At 49.5% G+C, this 20,898-nt stretch overlaps 1 non-coding gene and 1 pseudogene across 1 annotated transcript, besides 7 other annotated features; one reads left to right on the plus strand and one right to left on the minus strand.

Moving 5' to 3' along the window:
* Positions 3,853-4,012: an enhancer, noted in NCBI's record as "active region_179". NCBI's record gives its function as "activates an Ori minimal core promoter by ATAC-STARR-seq in GM12878 lymphoblastoid cells {active_cell/tissue: GM12878}" and the evidence as "EXISTENCE:reporter gene assay evidence [ECO:0000049][PMID:35858748]".
* Positions 8,829-9,380: an enhancer, noted in NCBI's record as "H3K27ac-H3K4me1 hESC enhancer chr1:11958895-11959446 (GRCh37/hg19 assembly coordinates)". NCBI's record gives its function as "activates a minimal SCP1, AML or CMV promoter by ChIP-STARR-seq in naive H9 embryonic stem cells {active_cell/tissue: H9 hESC(naive)}" and the evidence as "EXISTENCE:reporter gene assay evidence [ECO:0000049][PMID:30033119]".
* Positions 17,929-18,038: an enhancer, noted in NCBI's record as "active region_180". NCBI's record gives its function as "activates an Ori minimal core promoter by ATAC-STARR-seq in GM12878 lymphoblastoid cells {active_cell/tissue: GM12878}" and the evidence as "EXISTENCE:reporter gene assay evidence [ECO:0000049][PMID:35858748]".
* Positions 18,143-18,263, plus strand: RNU5E-1 (RNA, U5E small nuclear 1). The gene has a single exon (NR_002754.3). It is a non-coding gene; the product is annotated as an RNA, U5E small nuclear 1 (small nuclear RNA).
* Positions 18,209-18,258: a silencer, noted in NCBI's record as "silent region_275". NCBI's record gives its function as "represses an Ori minimal core promoter by ATAC-STARR-seq in GM12878 lymphoblastoid cells {active_cell/tissue: GM12878}" and the evidence as "EXISTENCE:reporter gene assay evidence [ECO:0000049][PMID:35858748]".
* Positions 18,271-18,834: an enhancer, noted in NCBI's record as "OCT4-NANOG-H3K27ac-H3K4me1 hESC enhancer chr1:11968337-11968900 (GRCh37/hg19 assembly coordinates)". NCBI's record gives its function as "activates a minimal SCP1, AML or CMV promoter by ChIP-STARR-seq in naive H9 embryonic stem cells {active_cell/tissue: H9 hESC(naive)}" and the evidence as "EXISTENCE:reporter gene assay evidence [ECO:0000049][PMID:30033119]".
* Positions 18,283-18,577: a silencer, noted in NCBI's record as "tiled region #3932; HepG2 Repressive non-DNase unmatched - State 1:Tss". NCBI's record gives its function as "represses a minimal TATA promoter and a strong SV40 promoter by Sharpr-MPRA in HepG2 cells {active_cell/tissue: HepG2}" and the evidence as "EXISTENCE:reporter gene assay evidence [ECO:0000049][PMID:27701403]".
* Positions 19,399-19,448: a silencer, noted in NCBI's record as "silent region_276". NCBI's record gives its function as "represses an Ori minimal core promoter by ATAC-STARR-seq in GM12878 lymphoblastoid cells {active_cell/tissue: GM12878}" and the evidence as "EXISTENCE:reporter gene assay evidence [ECO:0000049][PMID:35858748]".
* RNU5E-4P (RNA, U5E small nuclear 4, pseudogene) lies at positions 19,799-19,918 on the minus strand (annotated as a pseudogene).

Genomic DNA, 20,898 nt, shown 5'->3' on the forward strand with positions numbered 1-20,898 from the left:
CTCACAAAAACATGTGCTGTATGGACTCAAGGTTTAAGGGATTTAGGGCTGTGCAGGATGTGTTTTGTTAGAAATGTTTTTGTAGGCAGTATGCTTAGTAAAAGTCATCGCCATTCTCCATTCTCGATTAACCAGAGATACAATGCACTGCGGAAGGCCGCAGGGACCCCTGCCCAAGAAAGCCCAGGTATTGTCCAGGATTCCCCCCACTGAGACAGCCTGAGATGTGGCCTCGTGGGAAGGGAAAGACCTTACAGCCCCCCAGCCTGACACCCACATAGGGTCTGCCTGAGGAGGATTAGTGAAAGAGGAAGGCCTCTGTGTTGTTGGGATAAGAGGAAGGCATCTGTCTCCTGCACGTCCCTGGGAATGGAATGGCTCAGTGTAAAACCGACCATACATGGCCGGGTGCCGTGGCTCACGCCTGTCATCCCAGCACTTTGGGAGGCTGAGGCGGGCAGATCACGAGGTCAGGAGATCGAGACCATCCTGGCTAACACGGTGAAACCCCGTCTCACACACCGGGCGTAGTGGCGGGTGCCTGTAGTCCCAGTTACTCGGGAAGCTGAGGCAGGAAAATGGTGTGAACCCAGGAGGCGGGGCTTGCAGTGAGCTGAGATTGCTCCACTGCACTCCAGCCTGGGCAACAGAGCGAGACTCTGTCTCAAAAAAAAAAAAAAAAAAAAAAACCGACCATATATTCTATTCTGAGATAGGAGAAAACTGCCATATGGCTGGAGGCGAGACATGATGGCAGCAATACTGCTCTGTTACTCTTTACTGCACTGAGATGTTTATGTAAAGTTAAACATAAATCTAGCCTATGTGCACATCCAGGCACAGCACCTTTCCTTAGACTTATTTATGACACAGATTCCTTTGCACACACATTTTCCTACTGACCCTCTCCCCACCATCACCCTATAGTCACACCACATTCCCCCTGCCAAGATGGTAAAGATAGTGATCAATAAATACTGAGGGAACTCAGAGACCGGGGCCGGTGCAGGTCCTCACTTACTGAGCACCGGTCCCCTGGGCCCACTTTTCTTCCTCTATACTTTGTCTCTGTGTCTTATTTCTTTTCTCAGTCTCTCGCCTCCACCTTGCGAGAAATACCCACAGGTGTGGAGGGGCTGGCCCCCTTCAACAAATAACACCTGACCCTTGGCCTAGGTGTTGAGGACATACTGGGCATTTGGGAGGCTATGGGAACTGGAGAAGGGAGCAGCTCAGTGCGCTTGAGTACTGCCTTGTGGGAATGCACCTGTACTGTCAGAGACAGAGGGATATCTTTAAAATCTTAGGTAAGTATCTGTTTTTTTAATGTTGGCAAAAATTTTAGAATTTTTTTTACTGTTGAGAGTTTCAAATAAAATGTGTCTGCAACCTGTATTCAGCTGTGGAGAGAGATGGAGAGGTAGCATGTGCTGTGAGATGATGCTTTTCTTGTTTGCAAAACACAGCGTCTTGTATAATTGTCACTCTAACTCTGTGAGGCAGACTGGGCAGGTCGGCCGTGCCCATCTGATAGATTAGGAAAACTGAGACCCAGATGAGTGAAGCACTTTGCAGGTGTCACACAGCAGTGGCAGAGCATGGATTTAAACTCAGTGCTGCCAGACAGGGGGGCTCATGCCTGTAATCCCAGCAAGGCCAAGGTGGGAGGATTGCTTGAGGCCAGGAATTCAAAACCAGCTTGGGCAACATAGCAAGATCCCATCTGTAAAAAAATAAGAAAAAATTTGCCAAGCTATGGTGGTGTGTAACTGTAGTCCCAGCTGTTGGAGAGGCTGAGGTGGGAGGATCGCTTGAGCCCAGGAGATGGAGGCTGCAGCAAGCTATAATTGAGCCACTGCACTTCCAGCCTGGGCAACGGAACAAGACCCTGTCTCAAAAAAAAAAAAAGAAAAATAAATAAATAAACTCAGGTGTCTCTGATTCCAAAGGTTGCCCTTTCTGCTCTGCTATGTCAAGGCTGTGTAGTGAGTGAGGGAAGGGGTGGGCAGCTCGTGGGACTGGGAGCCACTCTCTGCACTTTTCACCAGGAGAGCTGACCCAAGCCCTGTCACCTGAACTCTCAGCATCTAGAGAAAAGCAAATGGTGGAGATAAAGTTGCTGAGGTGCTGGTGGAGCATGTGACATGAAGATTTCTGTAGGTCCAAAGATGGCCCCCACCTCTCTGGGGCTGGCCAGTGGAATGCAGAAAAGGAGAGTCCACCGGGCGTCGGTGATGAACGGATTCCAGTGTCACTCCCAGGAGCTCCAGACTGAGACCTGCCCCACCTCAGAGGCCCCCTTCCCCATCCATGGGCTTCCTGTGTCTCACTCAATCTGATTCCTCACCCTGCAAAGGGTCCTCATGTCCCTGGAGCTTGCCTGCTTCTTGGAGTCCCATAGCTCTGAGATCTCAAACCTCCAGTGGGGGAAGCACAGCCCAGGTGCCTCCCATCCTACCCATCCCATCCACAGGACAGGAGCAAACCAGTTTGCTGTGGACCCTGCCTTCGAGACCACCTGGCATTCCTGGTCCCCTAAAAGAAGCCTAGGAGAAGCTATTTGGGACCAAAGACAAACCTCCCCAGCTCATCTCCAGCTTCTGAACACCCAGGACACAAACACACATTGGAAACACCTGTTTAGTGTCTCCCCTGGCACAGGACTCCCAGCTTTACCGCCAACCCACTCCGGGGCTTAATCACTCACTGCCCAGATACAGGTGCTCTAAGCACCAGTTTGTGGGGACAGACTCAGCCTTTCCAAGGGAAGTAAACAGAAATCGCCCACCTGTAGGACTGAGTTCTTGTTGTTTTTTTAAGATGAAGTCTCACTCTGTCACCCAGGCTGGAGTGCAATGGCACTCTCTCCGCTCACTGCAACCTCCACCTTCTGGTTCAAGCAATTCTCCTGCCTCAGCCTCCCAAGTGTCTGGCATTACAGGCACCTGCCACTGTACCAGCTAATTTTTGTATTTTTATTAGAGACAGGGTTTCACCATGTTGGCCAGGCTGGTCTCGAACTCCTGACCTCGGGTGATCCACCCGCCTCAGTCTCCCAAAGTGCTGGGATTACAGGTGTGAGCCACTGCGCCCGGCCAGGACTAAGTTTTGTTCTTTTCTTTTCTTTAGCTTTTTTTAATAGGGGTCTCACTGTGTTGCCCAGGCTGCTGTCAAACTCCTGGGCTCAAGCAATCCTCCAGCCTCAGCCTCCCAAGTAGCTAAGCTTACAGATGTGTGTCACTGTGCCTGGCTTTGTTGTTTTGTTTTTTTAATCCCTGATGCATGGTAACATGATGAGGTTTTACCTGCCAGGCTTTTCCTAGCAAAGCAATTATTTTTTAGGTAGAATTATCCCTCCAGCCTATTGTGAAAGAAGCAGAAGTTACTGGAAAGTTGGAGTGATTGCCCAAGTCCCCAGAAGGAGGGGGCAGCTATTAGTGCAGCTGTCTGTGGGCTTGAGAAGCAGTTTCTGGAACTTTCCTCACCCCACCCTTCAGTCCTGTCTTATTAGAAGCCCAATTCTGTCCTTGTTCAGGAACAGTGTAGCCATGAATACAGCCCCATGCTGGGCTCTGACAGCTGACAGGACCACCAACATGAGGCCCGTGGATGGTGGAGGGAACCTGCACTCACTGACCACCTATCATGATTTGGTGCCGACCCGTTTAACCCTTATGTTGACCTGACAATAGGCATTATTACCACATTTTACTGGTAAGCAACCTGAGGCCCAGAGAGACAGAGCAACTTGGCCAAGATCACACAGCCTTTAAGAGGCAGAGCTGAGATTTGAACTGAGGTCTGTGTATTTGCAAAGTCTATGCCTGGGCAAAAATCTCAGGAGAGATGGAGTGAGTTGACTCAAACCACCGCGTACTGGTCCCAGACCAAATGGGGGACAGGCCTCCTGCACAGCCAGGAGCACCCACCCAAGGACCAAGATCTCATCTGAGAGTTCTGTGTCTCACCTACCACCTGGGGTGTGGAGTGGGGAAGAACCCAGCCTGGCCTTGGGCTGGGCCACCACCCTGTCTTCCCACACCTGGTCAGCCTGCTCCTTCCCAAATCAAGCATGCAGTGTCGCCCAGGTAAGGAGAGAGCCTCCAGCGCCACCTGCTGGAGATGCAGTAGCAGCGCCCTCCAGGGGACCCTGCATCCCCAGAGTGTCTGGGGAGAGTGGGGTGAGATATAATGGGGGAAAGGGAGGGGGTCAGTGCGTCTCGCAGGCAATTATCTCCTATACTTGACCCCATGAACAGGGGTGAGTATTCCTCCTTCTAGAACCTCAGAAAGTTGCAGCTGGAAGGCTCAAAGCAGGGAACTGATCTTGCAAGGATGGATGGGTGGATGGGTGGGTGGGTGGGTGGATGGATGAATGGGTGGGTGAGTGGATGGATGGATGGATGAATGGATGGATGGATGGATGGATGGATGGATGGATGGATGGGTGGGTGGGTGGATGGATGGGTGGGTGGATGGATGGGTGGATGGGTGGATGGATGGGTGGGTGGATGGGTGGGTAGGTGGATGGATGAATGGGTGGGTGAGAGGATGAATGGATGGATGGGTGGATGGATGGATGGGTGGATGGGTGGGTGGATGGATGGATGGGTGGATGGGTGGTTGGATGGGTGGGTAGGTGGATGGATGAATGGGTGGGTGGGTGGATGAATGGATGGATGGATGGGTGGATGGGTGGGTGGATGGATGGATGGATGGATGGGTGGGTAGGTGGATGGATGAATGGGTGGGTGAGCGGATGAATGGATGGCTGGATGAAAGCATGGATAAAGTCATGTCTTCTGCCAAGGGCCAGACCAGGAGAAAGGCTAGCTAGTTTCTGTGCATGGAAACAAGGCAGTTTTCTGCACAATGTCCTGGCTGTTTGAATTCAGAGAGGAAGAACAGAGGAGCCATCTGGGGCCTCATGTCATCCCTATTTTCCATCAGCCTGAAATTTTCATACCAATCATTATCATTAGCAAGCGTTGCAACTATAAACCTCCCCATCTTCCTTCTCCCAGCCTTGCTGCTGGCACAGCCTCCAGTGATGGGGAGACAGGGACAGGGCTCACCCTGACCCCAGGAACCTGGCAGGGGCAGGCAGTTCATCTCTGGGGAGGAAAAGAGGCAATCCAGGGCTGTCCCCACAGCTCACATAGATCAAGTGTGTGCTATGTGTCAAATCCTCTGCCCAGCACACTGAAGGCATGGTCTCATTGACCCTGGCCGTGACCTATGAGGGAGGAAGGGAGGGAAGTTTATACCCAGAGTGAGGCATCAGTGTCCCCCAGTCCTCTGTCTGCATAGAAGTCCCCAGGACCCAGTCCTGCTGACACCTTCTCCTGTGTAGGCCACGAAGGGAGAAGCATCAGGGACGGATGAAGCAAGCCACTTCCAGAGCCAGACTGCCTTATCTGGTGATCACTGATCAGCAGTGTGATCTCGAGCAAGTTACTCACCTTCTCTGAGCCTCAGTTTCCCCCGGGCACAGGCAGAATAACAGCATGTGTTAATTCTGATTGGTGGCTGGGACATATGCTTATTACACTAAAAAATATATATATAATATATATAATTGAAAATTAAAAATATAAAATTAAAAATTTATATAAAATTAAAAATTTCAGGCCCTGTGCAGTGGCTCATGCCTGTAATCCTAGCACTTTGGGAGGCTGAGGCCAGAGGCTTGCTTGAGGACAGGAGGTGGAGAGCAGCCTGGGCAACACAGCAAAACCCAAGACGTAATCTCTAAAAAAAAATTTTAAGCCGGGCACGGTGGCTCATGCCTGTAATTTCAGAACTTTGGGAGGCCGAGGCGGGCAGATCATGAGGTCAGGAGTTCAAGACCAGCCTGACCAACATGGTAAAACCCCATCTCTACTAAAAATACAAAAATTAGCCGGGCGTAGTGGTGCGTGCCTGTAATCCCAGCTACTCAGGAGGCTGAGGCAAGAGAATCACTTGAACCCGGGAGGCAGAGGTTGCAGTGAGCTGAAATCGTGCCACTGAACTCCAGCCTGGCAACAGAGTGAGACTCCATCTCGAAACAAACAAACAAACAAAAAGAAATAAAAGAAAAAAAGAGAAAGAAAAAGAGCATCCGGGCACAGTGGCTCACGCCTGTAATTCCAGCACTTTGGAAGACGGAGACAGGAGGATCACCTGAGGTCAGGGGTTCGAAACCAGCCTGACCAACATCTCTACTAAAAATATAAAATTAGCCAGGTATGGTGGTGCATGCCTGTAATCCAGCTACTTGGAAGGGTGAGGCAGAGGAATTGCTTGAACCTGGGAGGCAGAGGTTGCAGTGAGCCGAGATCCCGCCACTGCACTCCAGCCTGGGCGACAGAGCAAGACTCCGTCTCAAAAAAAAAAAAAAAAAAAAAAAAAAAAAAAAAAAGAAATTTACAAACCCTCCAGCTTTTTAAGGGTTTCATTTTATTAATTAAAAACAAGATCAGACACATCTGCAGTCTGGATTCAACCAGCAGGCTGCCAATCTGTCACCACTGGCATAACTGACCAAGTGACAGTAGCAATGCCGGGCGTGGTGGCACATGCCTGCGGTCCCAGCTACTCAGGAGGCTGAGGAGGGAGGATCGCTTGAGCCCAGGAGTTCGAGAGTTTGAGGCCAACCTGGGCAACATAGTGCAACCCTATCTCAAGAAAAAAAAGCAAGGTGCTAGGCCAGGTACGGTGGCTAACACCTGTAATCCCAGCACTTCGGGAGGCTGAGGCGGGTAGATCATGAGGTCAGGAGATCGAGACCATCCTGGCTAACACAGTGAAACCCCATCTCTACTAAAAATACACAAAATTAGCTGGGTGTCGTGGCGGGAGCTTGTAGTCCCAGCTACTTGGAAGGCTGAGGCAGGAGAATGGCATGAACCCGGAGGTGGAGCTTGCAGTGAGCCAAGATCGTGCCACTGCATTCCAGCCTGGGTGACAGAGCAAGACTCCATCTCAAAAAAAAAAAAAAAAAAAAAAAAAAAAAAAAAAAAGCCAGGTGCTGAGAAATGCTTCATGATCATCTAATGCTTTGCTAGCCCTATAAGGTAGATGAAGGGCTGTTGTTTGAGATATTTAATGTCAAACAAATAAAATTAAAAAATGACAAATGGAATCTAATCAGGGTTGCCGATCTGACATCTAGTTTAAAGGAAGTTCAGAGGGCATAGGAAGAAATTAAATTTGCAGGAAGAAATTCTGCAAATCAGATCAAATTCAGGATGAGGGATATTCCATAGGATAGGTAACTGATCCAGTCCTTCAAAAGTCTTCAGTGCCCCCCCTCCCCCCGACACACACACACACAAGGTGATGGGGAATAAGAGTCGTTCAGATTAAAGAAGGCTGAAATGATATAATTACCAAATGCACTGTGAGGATCGTTTTAGGACGCTGATTTGAATTAATCAATTCTAACAGGTCGTTTCATAAACAAGTAGGGAAATTTGAATATAGACTGATGTCTAACTTTATCAGAAATAACAGAGACAAGAAGATAATTGAATATATCCACTTACTTTAAACTGCCAAAAGAATAAAAACCCTGTGAATGCAGAATTCCATATCCAGCTAAAATTTCCTTTAAATATAGGTAAAATAGATGATTTTAGACCAAAAACAGCAAGAGCTTTTCTTTCAATCACAAGCAGTTGCAGATTTCTTTGTTCCCTCTCCATTCCCTGCTTTCCTTCACTAGCCTTAAAAAAAAAAAAAAAATTGTCTCAAGGCCGGGCGCGGTGGCTCATGCCTGTAATCCCAGCACTTTGGGAGGCCGAGGCGGGTGGATCACGAGGTCAGGAGATCGAGACCATCCTGGCTAACACGGTGAAACCCCGTCTCTACTAAAAATACAAAAAAATTAGCCGGGCGTGGTGGTGGGCGCCAGTAGTCCCAGCTACTCGGGAGGCTGAGGCAGGAGAATGGCGTGAACCCGGGAAGCAGAGGTTACAGTGAGCTGAGATCGCGCCACGGCACTCCAGCCTGGGCGACAGAGCGAGGCTCCGTCTCAAAAAAAAAAAAAAAGAAAGAAAAGAAAAGAAAAAAAAGGAAAGTAAATCTATTGCGGAGTCACATCGTGCACTCCCAAGCCAAGGTGAAATGATGTAAATTCCCGAGGCCTGTGTTTGGCCCGCTCTATCCACCTGGATGGCAGAGCACTAACCGGGCTAGTGGGTGGGAGATGGCCTGGGGACAGGGAGTGGGGACGCAGAGGCGGGATAGGAAGCCGCCTTCTCCGGGATGCCCAGACGCCTAAGCCTGGCAGAGGCAAAGCGCTAGACGGAGCACCGCAAAAGCCCCCATGGAGCGGTGGGAGGGCCGAGGCCCAGCCGGGCACAGTTCAGGCCAGAGACTTGAATTCTGCCGGCGATTTAGAAGTCGCCTGGGGTGGGTGGGGGGGGCTGTATCGAATTTCTGGAGCCGCTGGGCCATGGGAGGGCTGACTCGGGGATCTGGGTTGCCCTGGTCCATGTTCTGGCTCCCAGTGCCCTGGGGCGATGGAAGCTGGCGGGGTCAGGGCGTGGGGAGGGGCGGGGAGCGGCTGGTCGGGGCTGCGCTTGAGAAAGGGGGTGTCTCTGGAAGGGCCATGCGCTTGGGCGGGCAGGGACAACGTCCCGCACCTGTGCTGGCCCCGGCTTCTCCTTAGAGTGCCTCTGGCTGCCTCCCTGCTCTCACCTCGGGGTTTTCCTTTTTGCGCCATCCCCGGAGGGCAAGACTCTGTCCAAGCTGAGACAAACGTGGGGGGCGGTGGGGAGACTAGGTCTTCTCCTGCCCCTACCCCAGATCGCAGAGCCCATCTTGGCTGCCGGGACCCGAGGGCGCTCCAGGTTGGCTCCGCGGGTCGCATCACCTGCCAAGTGCTCGGGAGCCGCAGCACGGGCACCAGGGGGGTCCAGGATGGAGGGGCCACGGAGGTCTCCAAGGGAACTGCCCGGGCTGAGATTGGCCAGGGAGGGGGCCAGGAACTAGTGGAGCTACGGAGCCGCCAGTGGATCTGAGGACCCACCTGGATCCGAGGTCGGCCCCTGTCCCCGGTGCTGAAATGCGGGCGCCCGCGGGGTTCACGGCCAGGACTCAGCCCTGGAGTCCCTGAGACCGCTAGCCCCGTAGCAATCCCCTATGTAGGATTTGTTTCAAGGGCTCAGACCGGCACAGAGCCCCCCAGCTCTTCCTTGCCTCAGATTCTGTCCTTGGGTGATCAAATCCTGCTTTCTGTCTCCTAAAATTGTCTCTAGCGCTTTCTCTGGGACCACTCTAGTGCCTCTGAGCAGGCATCACAGGCTGGCCCATCGGATCATTATTTGTACTTTGGTCTTATGCTTTATCCCCTCCAAACCAACGGGCTCCCACTCTCAGCTGGGCTGCAGAATTTCCCATCCCCCTGCCTCTAACATTCCTAGGGGACTCTGTTCCTTTCCTCCCTCCTATCCCTTGCTTTCAAGTTAGTTAAAGCTAGACAATGAGGTCGGTGCAATGCGTCTGCATCTGGCAGGGGCAGCCACCTTCCTTGGAAATGGGGAGAGATGGTGCAAGAGAGAAGAGAGCCGGGAGAATAGGGGTGGGGCCCCAGGGCTGAGGCATGCCCTCCTGAGCTACTGCAAACTGCAGCCCCCAAGGGCCCAGGTGACATCATGTAATGGGCCTTAGCAAGACCCCCTTCCACTTCTGGGCCCTTATCTTCCCCTCTCAGCTCCTGACCCCTCCCCAGTCAGATGCCCTTGTTTGTAAGCTCTGCATCTCTCCCCTTCCCTCTCTCTCTTTCCCTCTCTTTTCAATATCATTGTTCTTTTATTCTTCTGATTATAAAAATTACTGTTGGCCAGGCCCTGTGGCTCACGCCTGTAATTCCAGCACTTTGGGAGGCTGAGGTGGGTGGATCACGGGGTCAGGAGATCAAGACCATCCTGGCTAACACGGTGAAACCCTGTCTCTACTAAAAATACAAAAAAATGAGCCGGGCATGGTGGCTGGTGCCTGTAATCCTAGCTACTCAGGAGACTGAGGCAGGAGAATCGCTTGAACCTGGGAGGTGGAGGTTGCAGTGAGCCGAGATAGTGCCACTGCACTCTAGCCTGGACAACAGAGCAAGACTCTGTCTCAAAAAAAAAAAAATTTCACCGGGCGTGGTGGCGAATGCCTGTAATCCCAGCTACTCAGGAGGCTGAGGCAGGAGAATCACTTGAACCCAGGAGGTGGAGGTTGAGCTGAGATTGTACTACTGTACTCCATCCTGAGCGACAGAATGAGACTCTGTCTCAAAAAAAAAAAAAAGTGTGTTTCTTTGCACACATTTTTGTACATTTCTGTTTCCTTAGGATGTATTCCCACATGTGAAATTATTGGCTTGACATATATTAACTGTTAAAATACTTTTGTTAGGCTGGGCGCGGTGGCTCACACCTGTAATCCTAGTACTTTGGGAGGCTGAGGTGGGTGGATCACTTGGGGCCAGGAGTTCAAGACCAGTCTGAGCAACATGGTGAAACCCTGTCTCTACTAAAAATACAAAAATTAGCCAGGCATGGTGGCACACACCTGCAGTCTCAGCTACTCAGGAGACGGAGGCACGAGAACTGCTTGAACCTTGGAGGCAGAAGCTGCAGTGAGCCAAGATCGCACCACTGCACTCCCACCTGGGCAACAGAGAGAAACTGTGTCTCAAAAAACACTTTTTTTAGGGCTCTTGATACATATCATCAAGTGACATTTTAGTAAGATTGGGCCAGTTCCTATTTCTACCTGTGGCATCTGCGTTCCTGTTTCACTGTAACATGGCTGCCTCTGAATTTTATATTTTAAAAGTATTTGCTAATGTAATAGATGGGACGTGACATACAGAGTTGCTTGTATTTGGAGTCCTCTGATTACTAGTAAGACCAAACAGGTTTTCACATATTTATTAGACATGTACATTTCTTCTGGAAAATTTTTCTCTCTACTATCAATGATTTTCTATTGCAGTTTAGTATTGATCCCATTAATTTTTCTTTTTTTTTTTTTCTTAGATACAGGGTTTCACCACATTGCCCAGGTTGGTCTTGAACTCCTGGGCTGAAGCCATCTGCCCTCTTCAGACTCCCAAAGGTCTGGGATTACAAGCGTGAGCCACCGCACCCAGCTTTATCTCATTAATTTGTAAGGCTTTTTGATATAGTACAATTGTTAACCCTTTGGTGTATTGCAAGTATGATTCTGGTGGGAGGCTCACCTTTTTGCTTGATTATTTTTGACACACAGAATTTCAAAATGTCAAATATATTTACGGTAACTTTTTAAAGGCTCGGCATGGTGGCTCACACCTGTAATCCCAGCACTTCAGGAGGCCGAGGCTAGCGGATGGCTTGAGCCCAGGGGTTCAAGACCAGCCTGGGCAACATGGAAAAACCCCGTCTCTGCAAAAAATACAAAAAATTAGCCAGTATGGTGGCATGAGTGCCTCTAGTCCCAGCTACTCAGGAGGCTGTGGTGGGAGAATCACCTGAGCCAGCGAAGTTGAGGCTCCAGTGAGCTATGATCACACCACTGCACTCCAGCCTGGGTGACAGAGCGAACTCCATCTCAAAAAAAAAAAAGAGGCTGGGCACAGTGACTCACGCCTATAGCTGTGCTGGAAGGCCGAGGCGGGAGGATCACCTGAGGTCAGGAATTCGACACCAGCCTGGCCAACATGGTGAAACCCCATCTCTACTAAAAACACAAAAATGAGCCGGGCGTGGTGGCTACTCAAGAGGCTGAGGCAGGAGAATCTCTTGAACTCAGGAGATGCAGGTTGCAGTGAGCCGAGATCACACCACTGCACTCCAACCTGGGTGACAGAGTGAGACTCTGCCAAAAAAAAAAAAAAAAAAAGAATGGCCAGGTGCAGTGCTTCACACCTGTAATCTCAGCACTTTGGGAGGCCGAGGTGGGTGGATCACGAGGTCAGGAGTTTGAGACCAGCCTGACCAACATGGTGAAACCCCGTCTCTACTAAAAATTCAAAAATTAGCCGGGCGTGGTGGCGGGTGCCTGTAATCCCAGCTACTTGGGAGGCTGAGGCAGGAGAATCACTTGAACCCGAGAGGTGGAGGTTGCAGTGAGCCGAGATCACACCACTGTACTCCAGCCTGGGTGACAGAGCGAGACTCCGTCTCAAAAAAAAAAAAAAAAAGAAAGAAAGAAAGAAAAAAGAAAAGAAAAGAAAAAGAAAAATGCTATAATCCTGCTAAAAACTCCCCTGTCTCTGTCTACTTTAGAACGCTGACCATTCCTTTGGAGTTGGTGTTTCCGAATTGTCCATCCTCACACTTTGTGCTTGAATAAACACTCTTTAAATTAGATTCTAACCCTTTTGATGATTTTAGGTTGACATTTTGGTGACCCACAGATGGGACCCAAGGCAAGCCTCCCACAATCCATGCTGCTTTGCCAACATTCTGAGCTTTGGTACCCGCAGGAACAGCTTTCACTCGTCTGACCTCATCAGAGCTAGCGGGGCTTCCTGGCATTTTCTCTTGGGTTTCAAATCTCCCTGGCTTTGGCTGAGATTCAGACTTTATTCAAGTACCCTGATTCCGCAATTCCATGCTCTATGGAGCTGGATTTGAAGCTCTACTTTTAAAAGTAGAAGTTTCAGGCCAGGCATGGTGGCTCATGCCTGTAAACCGAGCACTTTGGGAGGCTGAGGCGGGCAGATCACTTGCGGTCAGGAGTTTGAGACCAGCCTGGCCAACATGGTGAAACCCTGTCTCTACTAAAAATACAAAAATTCCCCAGGCATGATGGCACACATCTGTAATCCCAGCTACTCAGGAGGCTGAGGCAGGAGAATTGCTTGAACCCAGCGGGTTGAAGGTTGCAGTAAGCCAAGATCTTGCCAATGCACTACAGCCTGGGGAACAGAGCGAGACTCCGTCTCAAAAGAAAAAAAAAAAAGTGTGTGCCAGGCGTGGTGGCTCATGCCTGTAATCCCAGCACTCTGGGAGGCCCAGGCAGGTGGATCACCTGAGGTCAGGATCTCGAGACCAGTCTGGCCAACATGGTGAAACCCCGCCTCTACTAAAAATACAAAAATTAGCCACGTGTGGTGGCGGGCACCTATAATCCCAGCTACTCAGGAGGCTGAGGCAGGAGAAATGTTTGAATCCAGGAGGCGGAGGTTGCGGTGAGCCAAGATCACACCACTATACTCCTGCCTGGGTGACAGAGTAAGACCCTGTCTCAAAAAAAGAAAAAAAAAAAAGGAAGAAGAAATAAACTATATGTGTGTGGTTATTGTTACAAAACACACACACACACACACACACACACACAGAAAATTTAAACTAGAAACTATTGAAAATGTGTTGGGTGCAGTGGCTCACACCTGAAATCCCAGCACTTTGGGAGTTGGGAGGATCACTTAAGCCCAGGAGTTAGAGACCAGCCTGGGCAACATAGTGAGACCCCATCTCTATTACAAATAACAAAATGTAAACAAATTTTCTTTAAATAAAGAAACTATTGAAAATGGGGATGAGTGGAAACTGGGCGAAGGGGCTAGGGACAGGAGTGGGACTTCTCTGAATATATGTTTTTACATAGTTTTGATCTTTGAGTCTTGCATTTTTCATTTTCAAAAAGGAAAAATCTTAGCCGGGTGTGGTGCTGCATGCCTGTAGTCCCAGCTACTTAGGGGGCTGAGGTGGAAGGATTGCTTGAGCCTGGGAGGTTGAGGCTGCCGTGAGCTGAGATTGTGCCACTGCACTCCAGCCTTGGTGACGGAACAAGACTCTGTCTCAAAAAAAAGAAAAAGGAAAAATCAAATTATAAAGAAAAATGTATTATGACTTAAATGGGCCTTATCTCAGGAATGCAAATAATTAACATCCAAAAATCTAGCAATGGCCCAGGAGCAGTGGTTCACACCTGTAATCCCAGCACTTTGGAAGGCCAAGGTGGGTGGGTCACCTGAGGTCAGGAGTTTGCAACCAGCCTGGCCAACAGGACAAAACCCCATTTCTACTAAAAATAGAAAAACTAGCCAGGCATGGTGGTGCACACCTGTAATCCCAGCTACTCAGGAGGCTGAGGCACACGAAACGCTTGAACCTGGAGGCGGAGGTTACGGTGAGCTGAGATCGTGCCACTGCACTCCAGCCTGGGCAACAGAGTGAGACTCTGTCTCAAAAAAAAAAAAAAAAATCTAGCAATGTAATTCACCATATTGCTGAATTCAAAGGAGAAAATTTATACAACTATCTCAATAGATTCTGAAGAGCATTTGATAAAAAAACTCAGCACAGAGAAACCTGATGATAGAAGGAAATTTCCCTAACATAATTAATACAGGCTGTATGTTAAAATCTTACACCAGGCCAGACGCGGTGACTCATGCCTGTAGTCCCAGCACTTTGGGAGGCTGAAGCAGGCAGATCATGATGTCAGGAGATCGAGACCATCGTGGCCAACATGGTGAAACCTTGTCTCTACTAAAAACACAAAAATTAGCTGAGCATGGTGGCGTGTGCCTGTAATCCCAACTACTTGGGAGGCTGAGACAAGAGAATCACTTGAACCAGGGAGTTGGAGGTTGCAGTGAGCTGAGACCACGTCACTGCACTCCAGCCTGGCAACAGAGCGAGACTCCGCCAAAAAAAAAAAAACAAAAAAAAAAACTCACACCAAATATCACACATAACAACGCATTTTCCCTGATCAGGGGAAATGGGCCAGGCATGGTGGTTCACACCTGTAATCCCAACACTTTGGGCGGCTGAGACAGGAGGATCACTTGAGGCCAAAAGTTTGAGACCAGCCTGAGCAACATAGCAAGATTACAGCTCACAAAAAATAAAAATAAACAAATTAAGCCTGGCCAATATAATGAGACCTAGTTTCTACAAAAAATAAAAAAAAAAATTAAAAATTAAAAATTAACTGGGCAACAGAGCAAGACCTCATCTCTAAAAATTAAAAATAAATTCAAAACATTCACAATGTTGTAATACCATCACTGCCATCCATTTCCAAAATTTTTCATCACCCGAAACAGAAACTCTATACGTTACCCAATAACTCCTATTATCCCCTCTTCTAGATATTTTACCTAAGTACAGTCACACAATCTATGCCTTTTTGTGGCTGGCTTCTTTCATGTAGCATGCATCCTCAAATTTCATCTACAATGTAGTGTGTACCAGAATTTCTCTCCTTTTTATGGCTGAATAGTATTCCATTGTATGGGTAAACCACATTTTGTTTATCCACTCATCAGCGGATAGACACTGGGATTGTTGTCATCTTTGGGCTGTTATGAACAACGCTGCTATTAATGCTCATGTAGAGTCATCTGTTTGAGTCCCTGTTTGGAAATCTTTTTTTTTTTTTTTTTGAGACGGAGTCTTGCTCTGTCCCCCAGGCTGGAGTGCAGTGGCACGATCTTGGCTCATTGCAACCTCTGCCTCCTGGGTTCAAGCGATTCTCTTGCCTCAGCCTCCCAAGTAACTGGGACTATAGGGGCCTACCATGCCCAGCTAATTTTTGTGTTTTTAGTAGAGACGGGGTTTCACCATGTTGGCCAGGCTGGTCTCGAACTCCTGATCTCAGGGGATCCGCCCGCCTTGGCCTCCCAAAGTGCTGGGATTACAGGCCTGAGCCACTGCGCCCGGCCCCAAGTTTCTTTTTACTAAAGAGATTTCCATCAGATTTTTTTCTAAAATAGAAATACAAAGTAAAAGTGCTTTGCTTTGTTGTGGCTGATGGTGATGAGGTTTAGGAAGTCTTTCTTCCTTCCCCACTTCCTCCTTCACTCCTCTCTCTCTCTCTCTCTCAGGTTAGGAGGTAAGGAAGCCTACTCATCCGTCTAGAAGATGAGCCAGTAGGGGGGGTGTCCTAGTTCAGGTGCTATGACAAAATACCTTAAACTGGATAATTTATAAACAGCAGAAAGTTATTTATTGCTCACAGTTCTGGAGGCTGGGAAGTCCAACATCAAGGCATCAGCAAATTTGCTGTCTAGTGAAGGCCTGTTCCTCATAGACGGCGCCTTCCCTGTGTCCCCACTTGATGGGAGGGTGAAAGGGACAAACTCGCTCCCTCAAACCCTTTTATAAGGACACTGATCCCATCCATGACCCAATCACCTTCCAGAGGCCCCACTTATCAATACCATCACCTTGGAGATTACATTTCAGCCTGTGGATGTGTGAGTGGCCACGACATTCAGACCACAGCGGGAGGGACACGGAGGGTGCTGCTGGGGGATTGCATGGGAGGGGAGCCATCTTTGTGGAGTTGGGGTTCAAAGCCCAGGAGGAGGGCCGTTCATGGGAGGAGGCAGAAGATGAGCCAGATGCGGTTGCAGGCGGGCTGGGAAGATGAGGGCGTCTGGCCTCTCAAGGAAGCCCCTGGGATGTCGTGGGCTGACACGGTGAGTTGCAGAGGGGGAAGCTGAAGGGAGAGAAGGATTAAAAGGGGTGTTTGTGTGTTTGTTTGTTTTTTGAGACGGAGTTTTGCTCTTTCACCCAGGCTTGAGTGCAATGGTGCGATCTCGGCTCACTGCAACCTCCGCCTCCTGGGTTCAAGTGGTTCTCGTGCCTCAGCCTCCCAAGTAGCTGGGATTACAGGCACGCGTCGACACACCAAGATAATTTTTGTATTTTTAGTAGAGACGGGGTTTCCCCATGTTGGCCAGGCTGGTCTCGAACTCCTGACCTCAGGTGATCCGCCTGCCTCCACCTCCCAAAGTGCTGGGATTACAGGCGTGAGCCACCGCACTCGGCCTAAAAAGGACATCTTGAGGTGGGAAATGGAGCCAATCAGAGAAACAGGTGAAGTGGAGGCCTGTATGGGAGGTTCCCCTGCTGTGGAATTTTTCCAGCAGTTCAGCTGCTACAGGGCAGAGGCTGGAAAGATGGCCCTGGGATCTTCCCAGGTGAGAAGACGGAAGGAAAGAGGGGCCAGCAAAGGAGGGGCTGCAGGGGAGTGAGAGAACAGGGGTAGTGGGGGGGCCCAGGCTCCATGGACCACGATCACTGCGGGGAGGCACCTGCACCGCTTCTCCTTCCCATCTGCAACCAGGAGCCAGCTACCGCCCCCTCCCCATCTCCTGCCCCTCCTCACCTACTGTTTCCTTCCTCTCTCCCAAAGTGTTGGGATTACAGGCGTGAGCCACCGCGCCCGGCCAGGAAACCTCCTCTCTGCCCTCGGTTTCTGTGAGGCTCCCAGTCCAGGTTTTCCTCCTGCCTCCCTCAATTTCTCTAATCTCTTTCATAGGCTCCTGCACTGTCCCCTCCTTTTATGCCACCATCCCCCAGGGACCTTCCTTGGCCTTTTCTCTCCTCATTTCACAGCCTTTCCCAGGCCTTCCCCTGCTCAGCCAGTAATCTGTCTCCCAAACTCCTCACTCTCCATATTTCAGGCACAACAGTTGCCAACAGAGGTTCTCAATGTGGCCTCCATCAGAATCACACGGAGGATGAGTTCAGACTCAGGGGGCTGGGCCCAATCCCCAGGCCTGCAGTAGGTCTGGAGTGGCTAGAAGTGTAAGAATTTTTTTTTGGAGACACGCTCTCGTTATGTTGCCCAGGCTGGTCTTGAACCCCTAGTTCAGGCGATCAGCCTGCCTCAGCCACCCAAAGTGCTGGGATTACAAGGGTGAGCCACGGAGTCCAGCCAAGATAATTTTTTTTTTACTTTTTTTTTTAAGTTCAAAAAAATTCTTTACTTATTAGGCTAATTGTGCAATTAAAAAAAAAAAAAAATTGCAAAAACCGCAATTACTTTTGCACCGATCTAATAGCTCGCCCACTGTAAGTAAAGCAGGTAAAGTCAGCCTTTTTCTTCTGGGACCAGACTCTGCTCTGCCCCGCGGTGGTGGCCTCAGGCGCAGCGCTAAAACGCATGAACCATTTAAGGTATTTCCTGAAACTGGAGCGTGATTGGTGAGACTTTATTTGCATACCCACAATGCATTGCGCACTAAATAATGTTCGTCTTTAAAATTATTTCCCCTTTTTCCTTCAACATATCTTTCTCGGAACCGAGATTGCTGTCCCAGAATTGTCTGAAGAAAAAGGCTGAAGTCAATAGCTCTTTTGGGCCGAAGGAAAGTTACCATTACCCGTTTAGGAGTAGCCGTTACCTGAGAACTGTAGTGTCGACGACTGATGTTATACTCTGGTTTCTCTTCAAATCGTATAAATCTTTCGCCTTTTACTAAAGATTTCCGTGGAGAGAAACGAGTGTGAGTCTGAAACCAATTTTTTGAGGCCTTGCGTTTCTTAGCAGGGCTTATTTTAAGTGTTTTAAAAACAGATGCGATTCCGTTAAATCGCGTGTGGAGCTATGTAAAGTGTATTATAGAACAAATGCGAGTTACGGTTTTTCAGCTTTTCGCTTTGTTAAGGTATGTGATATCAATTGTATTGCATTTCTGAGCAGTTATAATATTAAGATGTTGGGGTGGCTTACTGCTTTTGACCAAGAAGTAGGGTTTGTTGGTTGATTACACCAGTGGTTTTTAACCCCAGCCACTGAGTGATGGAGGGTTACCGACTCACAAGCGAGCATTAACGCCTGAGGTCCGCCTGCTGTCAGGGCAGCAAGGCATCAGATTCTCCTAGGAGCGGGAACCCTATTGTGAACTGCGTATACGAGGTATCTAGGTGCGTGCTCCTTTTAAGAATCTAATGGCTGATGACGAGGGGCACAGTTTCAACCTGGAACTGTCCACACCCCCTACCCACCTTCCCCCGCCCTTGGAAAAACTGCCTTCCATGAACTGGGTCCCTTGTGCCAGAAAGGTTGGGGACCGCTGGACTATCCGATCAAATGAAGCAGGGACTCGGGGCGAGCTCCCCCGCTGCTCCCGCCGGCTTCTCCGTGTAGAATCGAAGAAGGCAGTCCCAAGGGCTCTTCTGCCCCGTATCCCCGCCTGAGGAGCGTGCCAGGCGCGCAGCTAGTCCTCCCCCGACCCAACCGGTTTGATGAAACGCAAGAGAAAGTGAATTTTCCAGCCACTCCCATTGGCCAGAATTCGTCTCAGCCGCAAGGGAGGCTGGGAAGTGCAGTCATGCCTTCAGGTAGCCGTGAGCCCTGCTAGCGATAGGAGATTCTAGAGAGAGGTTGAGTACTGGGGAGGAAAAACTAGCAGGGTCTGTCCCAGTAAAGGAGGGAGGAAATCCATCGCAAAAAATCCTGACCCCCAGGCCGGGCGCGGTGGCTCACGCCTGTAATCCCAGCACTTTGGGAGGCCGAGGCGGGCGGATCACCTGCGGATCACCTGAGGTCAGGAGTTCGAGACTGGCCTGGCCAACATGGAGAAACCCCGTCTCTACTAAAAATACAAAAATTAGCCGGGCAGGAGGGCGCATGCCTGTAATCACAGCCACTCGGGAGGCTGAGGCAGGAGAATCGCTTGAACCTGGAAGGCGGAGGTTGCAGTGAACCGAGATCGCGCCACTGCACTCGATCCTGAGCGACAGAGCGAGACTCTGTCTCAAAAAAAAAAAAAAAAAAAAAAAAAAATCTACCCCGGGCTCAGGCCCTGAAGCAGCCGCCCACAGCCCAGCCCCGCCGTGCCCCGCCGTGCCCCGCCGTGCCCCGCCGTGCCCCGCCATGCGACTCAAAGCCCCATTCAAGCTACGTAGGAGGGTAAATTGTCCTTTTCCCCCAAGGCCAGCTGCTCCTCCAGAAGCCAGCTCTGGTCCTTCAGACTCAAATACTAGGGAACAATGTTTTCTCTGAGTTTTGAGTGTGTTTCTTGTTTCAGAGTAAATACGAACCGTCGTAATGGCTAAGGGCATCTACTTTTAAAACGCTCAAATAAGCCTTGCTAAAAAATGCAAGACCTCTAAAAAATTGGTTTAAAACTCAGAATTATTCCTCTCCACGGAAATCTTTAGTAAAAGGCGAAAGATTTATGCGATATGAAGAGAAACTAGAGTAAGAACTTCGATGAGTGGCACTCAGTTCTCAGGTAATGGCTACTCCCAACAGGCTAATGGTAAATTTCTTTCTGCCCAAAAGAGCTATTGACTTCTGCCTTTTTCTTCAGACAATTCTGGAACAGCAATCTCAGTTTCAGGAAAGATAGATTGAAGGAAAAAGGGGACTAGTAATTTTAAAGACGAAAATTATTTGGTGCACAATGCATTGTGGGTATGCAAATAAAGTCTCAGCAATCAAGCTCCAATTTTGACAAACTGGTGAAGCCTTAGGGACTCCTCAAAAAAAGGTTTTCTGTTGCTTTTGTTTTGTCTTAAATTTCTGATTTTTAATGTTTGTGGGTACATAGCATGTGTATGTATGGGTTACATGACAAGAGAAAGGTTTTGTTTGTTTGAGATGGAGTCTTGCTCTTGTCACCCAGGCTGGAGTGCTGTGGTGCGATCTCAGCTCACTGCAACCTCCGCCTCCTGGGTTCAAGCGATTCTCCTGCCTCAGCTTCCCGAGTAGCTGGGATTACAGGTGTGAGCCACCATGCCCGGCTAATTTTTGTATTTTTAGTAGAGATGGGGTTTCACCATGTTGGCCAGGCTGGTCTCGAACTCCTGACCTAAGGTGATCCGCCTGCCTCGGCCTCCCAAAGTGCTGGGATTACAGGCGTGAGCTACTGCGCCCGGCCCCTGCGAATGCTGTGTAGTTGTCTCTTCCCAAGGTTTTATTCTGAGAGGAGCCCCAGCCTTTCTCACGAGCTCACTTGCCCAGTGTTGCCGTCTCCCAGGACAGCCACAGAGCAGTCACACTGGTCCCTGGCCCGGGTTTTCAGAGCTCTCCTCCACGTGTGTGTTAGGGTTCTCTAGAGGGACAGGACCAATAGGATCTACGTATATATGAGAGGGACTTTATTAAGGAGAATTGACTCACACGATCACAAGGTCAAGTCCCATGATAAGCCGCCTGCAAGTTGAGGATCAAGGAAGCCAG

This window comes from Homo sapiens, chromosome 1 (assembly GCF_000001405.40).
Source record: "Homo sapiens chromosome 1, GRCh38.p14 Primary Assembly".
NCBI lineage: Eukaryota > Metazoa > Chordata > Mammalia > Primates > Hominidae > Homo > Homo sapiens.